Genomic DNA, 6000 nt, shown 5'->3' with positions numbered 1-6000 from the left:
AACTAATTGTAAGTAATATGGTCATAAGACATATCTTTTGTTACATATTTAATCAAAAGTCTGCATTTTATATAGGCAGCAAATTTATGGATGGCATTTACAGTTTTTTCCTAAAATACTGAAGAATTCTTTTTGTCTTGCTTTCAGATTTATCACCCAACCATAAGACATTTGACATTCAAGTTGTAGATATGAGTCTTGCTATTTTCACATTGAAAATATTGTAAATGTTATAATTTGTCAAGAGTTTTTAGACCCTAACATTAGCTAATTCATTAATTCATTCATTTATTCATCAAGCATATTAAGTGTCTAATATCTGCCAGGGATAAATAGTGAATAAAAATGTAGTCCCTCTCCTGAAGATCAAAGATTATAAACACAAGAAAAATTTCAGACCTATATTTATATATTGCTTACTTCACACCTCTATTTAGACTTTATATAGTTTTAAAAATCAGCCATAAACTAAAACTTTTTATTAAATCTGTACATTGTTACCATTTCTAAACCATAGGCTTGGCTTTCTTTGACCTTTTCTGAAGGGCATACTCTTTGAATGCTGTTTTGATTCTTCTGTATGTATCACACAGCCTTATGATAGCTTATGAATTCTTTATAATACATACACAAACTAGTCAAAATACAGCTTTTATTTGCATAACCCTATTTTTCTCCATTCTTTATTACATGTATTAAAGAAATAAGAAAACGCTTGACAGGTTACTATATAGCTACTTTAGGATGTAGGAATTAGAAATGAAAAGCACCCTTTTAAATTCCTATAAACTGGTCATCAGTTTCCCACCATTTCCTCTGGGTGCTCAGAAAAATATGACCGGCTGAAGGAGTAGAGTTTCAGCAGACGATACTGAGTTTATGTTCTTTATCCCACATTGTGCTGTTCAACCAGTGGAAGGAATACTCTGATGGCAGTCTTGTGACTTCCAGGACAAAAGGAATCAGTGCCCTGCCACAGCACAGAAATTAGAGAGGCCTTTGAGGGGCTACTAGGCCTTCCCCATCTCTGTTCTCTGTGTAACTCTCACAAAAACAACCAGAGCACCTTGCCAAATGGGTAGAGAGAGGTGGCCTCCCAACACTCAGGCTTTCATAATTATTTCCCAAGATCTCATCTGACATCTCACCTCAATGTGACAGCAGAACATGCCTTAAAGATGGGGCAAATCAGAAGTGAGAATCAAAAGCTTTAGAGAAGTGCCTGCGTATAAGTGGCTGAGCTGTATGAAGATATCACTTATTAAGAGCTTGAAATCTGCAGGCACTGAGTTCGTCACAAAAACCCCATGTGATGGATGAGAAAGCTGAATATCAGGGGTTTTCCCAGAGTTACAAAACTTTGGAACTGGAATTCAAACCCATGTTGGCCAGCTCCAAAGCCTACCTTCTTTTTTTTTTTTTTGAGACAGAGTTTCGCTCTGTCGCCCAGGCTAGAGTGCAGTGGTGTGATCTCGACTCACTGCAAGCTCCTCCTCCCGGGTCCACGCCATTCTCCTGCCTCAGCCTCCCGAGTAGCTGGGACTACAGGCGCCCGCCACCGCATCCAGCTATTTTTTTTGTATTTTTAGCGGAGACGGGGTTTCACAAAGCCTACCCTCTTAACCACTGCACCACTTTGCCTCTCAGATGCCAACAGGTCATGCTATCTCTGAAGCCTAAATCCTTATTCTTTAAAACATGAAGCTTAAAATCTATGGCGTGCCTGTTTAGTAACAAAGTTTACACCCTCAGAAACCCATCCTTAAGTGAAAACTAAATAACTACTGTTATATTTCAATTCTATTTCTTTTACTTTATGCTGCCCAGCTATGTTTGGTAGAGACTATTCCCACCATTGTAACTATACGTTGGAATTGAAGATCCTCTCTAAAATAGCAAAATCTGCCCTATCTTGATTGCAAAATATGTCTCTATTTTAGAAAAGTAGATGAATCCCTTCCCTCCCCTGATTGTGTCAATTTTAACCATCTTAGAGCCAAAGCCACTTTACCATAATTTATGTTAAGCTTTTTTAATAAATGTCTTCTAATAATGGCTCTTGCATAAGAAGGATTTTATAGTATTGTATGTGATATGTAAATTGTTTCCACTAAAACAAATCTAAAAGGTTTGTACATATTCTGTATTATTTAGTGATACAGGACTCTAGCTCTTGAAGTAATTAATTAGGGATCATTGGGAATTATCATTTTGGACCCTGATCAGGGAACATTTTAAAAATCAATGAATATTGGAGACTTCACTTTCTTCACACCCAAAAGGAAAAAAAAAAGATTAAAAACAAATTCCTTGGGTATTGTCAGGCATTCTCAGCACACTCACATCTGGTACCATCTGTAACAGCTCAATCAATAGAGAAGAGTAATGTAATAATTGCTACAACATATTTTGTAATTCCTCGTTGTGGTGGCAACAGCATTTCAATAATATTCAGAGAGACTATTTATGATGCTTAAGGTAAGAGGTTTCTACCATGTGCAGAATAACAAAATTCAGCAGATATTTAACCCTTAGTGTGAAAAACCTTTAGTGAAAGTAAAGAAGCAGTTAAGCTTAAACTGAAGTCATCAAATATTCTCTGTGCCAGACAATAGTCACAGCAGGTTAAGCCACAGGGCATTTGAATAGGCAAAATAGTTTTTGATGACTATTAATTAATACAGAACCAACTGAATAAAATATGCTATATCCACACAGTTGAAGATTATGCAATTGTTAAAATGAACAAAAATTGAAGAAGCTCTCTGTGATATAAAAAATTCCAAGGTATTTTGTTGAGTAAACAAAGCAAAACACAGAATACTGTGTCTAGGAGGCTACCTTTTCTGTAATAAGAGAGGAAAATTACAAATCTACATTTGTATTTACTTCTATATGCATAAGGAAACTTTGGAGACTATATCTAAAATGAGGGGATGAATATCCCATTCTCCATGACATGCTAATTTCACACTGTATGCCTGTATAAAAACATTTCATGTACCCTACAAATATATATACTTACTATGTATCCAAAAAAATTAAAATTTAAAATAATAATAATAAATATATATAACTATAAAGTTTTTACCTGAGTGTATGTGTGGTGGTGAGGGCACTGGAGTGGTTGATGACATGAATGAGCACAAGATGTTTGTATATATGTGTGTATATATACACATATATACACACATATATATGTGTATATATATACACATATATACATACACATATATATGTGTGTATATATATGTGTATATATACACATATATACATACACATATATATGTGTATATATGTATATATATAAATATATATACATATATAAAACATATATAATTGTTGAAACATATTAGTGTATTACTTATTTAATGAATTAAATTAAAAGTTGTTTAAGTAATGTACCTATTATCAACAGGAACTAGTGAAATAAATACGGTAAATTAATAGAGCGGAATACTACGTGGCCATTAAACAATAACAATAAGGAAGCTCTTTATGTATGGATACAGAAAGATCTCTCAGATGTGTTATTGTGTTTAAAAGAAAATCAGAATAGCGTCCTTAATGTGCTACCATCTTAGTGGAAGGAAGAGGACCATCACTGTGTGTTTGCTTACATACAACTATCTCCAAAGGGTGGTTGGTTGTGTAGAGGGGAGCCGCTTTGTGGTCTGGCTTGGGAGCGGAAGGGAGACTTTTCACTGCCTTTTCTGCTTTATTCTTACCCACTTCAACGTATTATCTTTTCATTAAAAATAAAACTCAAGCACTTTTAGATCATTTTTAAAACAGTATTTAATTATAATTACTGGGTTTTTTTTCTAGGGAAAGAAAAGAATTAATCAATAAATCAAACTCAGAATTAGAGAAAGGAGGAAAACCAAGCCCTCCTGAAGTTTAAGCTATGTAAGTCAACCCTTGAATGAGATCTAATTTATCAAACTATCTAATTCATCAAACTACTACTCCAACTGCAGCTGCTAATATGTTTTATTTTTACTCCGCTCATTTGACTGCAATGTATTGCCATTAATTCAAACTTAGCTTAATAACATTAACAGGATTTATTTCTTCCCAGATATATAAACAACTGTCATGTTGTCTTTCACCAGCTCCACCTCCACTCCAAGAAAGGAAAACTAAATGGATTGAGTAATTTAAGTTTTACCTGGTTCATTATCAGTTTCAAATAATTTATGCATTTTAAGCAGCTGCTTTTCTTCTCCTTATGTGTCACTCACGCAAATTAGCAAGACCTCAAAGAAACTAGCCTATAACAAACCAATTTTTAAACTAAGTATTTCACAGGGTTATCTTTCCCTGTGCAGATTTTAACAGTGTAAAGCACCCACATTTCTACATTGTAGTGGAAAGATTATGAGCTTAAACACATCTAGGGCTTAATCTTGACTCTGCCACTTAGAAGGCACATGTCCTTGGACAAATAATTTAACCTCTTTGAGCCTCAGTTTTCCTTACCTGTAAAATGGGAATGGGAATACTTCTTCACAGGGCTGTCATGTGAATCATATAAAATATATTAAAGTCCTTAGTAGCATCCCCGATACCAGGGTGACCAAAAGTCCTGGTTTGTCTGAGACTCTTAAGTTTCATTTAGCAACATAAGTCCTAGGAAAACTCTCAGTTCCAGACAAACCAAAACAGCTAGTCAATGTATCTGTACACATGAAATATTCAATGGAATATCCAATGAAGTGATTTTCAAAGGGAAATTCTGAGTGCACAGACCAGGGAGGGCAGTAGTGTCCACAGTAAATTGCTTTTATTGCTATTAGGGTGAAAGATACAAAAGGACACAAAAAAATCTGCAACTTTTAGGCAACGGAAGCACAAGATAAGCAGGGAAAAGTAACTTGTCTTTGGAGCCAGATGGCCTAAATTTTAGTTCTGGTTCTCTTGAACCAGAATAACCAACTCTCTCACTGGCCTCTGTGCCACTGGCCCTTGGTTTCATCACGGATAAATGAGAAGTTTAGACCTGCTCTTTCCGACTCTAAAATTCGATTTCAAGAATAAGATTCTCAAATGACGTGAGAAATTCTTCAACACCCCCAGAAGCAGATGAAAAAGGTCAACATCCCTTTGTCTTGTCAGCCCCTCCAATACTGTGGGCACTGGAACATTAGCTAGTCTTTGAAAAACATTCCACTAAGTAGGAACAAGGTGAAGAAGACCCATCCATGCCCTTCACTCACGTATCACAGAGTCAGAGCATTTTTGCCAGCCAGAATCTGAAAAAGCTCTAGCAACAAGTGGTTACCAGTTGGGCCTGAAAGTTGGGTAAAAAGTTAGTAGGCAACTGAGTAACTGAGGGCAGAGGCAACTGCCTGAAGGAGGGAGAACGCTAGTCATCTAGAATCCTACTGCACTGGGTTTGGTGAAAGCAGATAAGAAGAAATATTCTGGAACGCCATTTTACGAGGGTCCGTAGCAATATCATCGGGATTTCCAAGGGGGTAAGAACATGGAGGTCTTGGAAAATGAGGAGAAGAAAAGAGATGAGAACCTGAAGTGGCAACAGAGTAGCAGGGGCAAGGAAAGTTTTCCATAGTAAAGAGGAGAGATTTGAACATGTTTGTAAATATATCAAAAATCAGCAGCAGAAAGAGAGCAGAGTTAGAAAGGTGCACATACGGGAGTAAGGAACTTTCTTCTTTCTAGACTTTAGGTACAGGAAGAAAAGAAAATTTCAGAGAAGCTGAAAATGCTGGAATTTGGACTTGGTCTCAACAGAGTAAAATAACATGCAATGCCTTCTTTCAGGTAATTTCATTATCACCTCAGTTTGTTGAATTGTCTTCATGTTCTTGTACTAAGGACAGTGGTGCTAAATTAATGGATGGAATACTAACAATGTTTTGGTTAAGTCAAGCTTTGTTGAAGATTTCAAACAAATTCTAGCCTTGTTCCAACTCTGATTTTGAATTTTATAAAAAATATATTAGTCTACTCTCCCTTCTTGGCAATATAACTGTA

At 35.8% G+C, this 6000-nt stretch overlaps 1 annotated feature.

The window, feature by feature from the left end:
- Positions 4583-4783: a silencer, noted in NCBI's record as "peak3940 fragment used in MPRA reporter construct". NCBI's record gives its function as "represses an SCP1 promoter by STARR-seq MPRAs in K562 erythroleukemia cells {active_cell/tissue: K562}" and the evidence as "EXISTENCE:reporter gene assay evidence [ECO:0000049][PMID:32103011]".

The sequence above is a fragment of the Homo sapiens genome, chromosome 2, assembly GCF_000001405.40.
Source record: "Homo sapiens chromosome 2, GRCh38.p14 Primary Assembly".
In the NCBI taxonomy this organism is placed as follows: Eukaryota; Metazoa; Chordata; class Mammalia; order Primates; family Hominidae; genus Homo; species Homo sapiens.
This window is presented reverse-complemented; position numbering and strand designations above follow the sequence as displayed.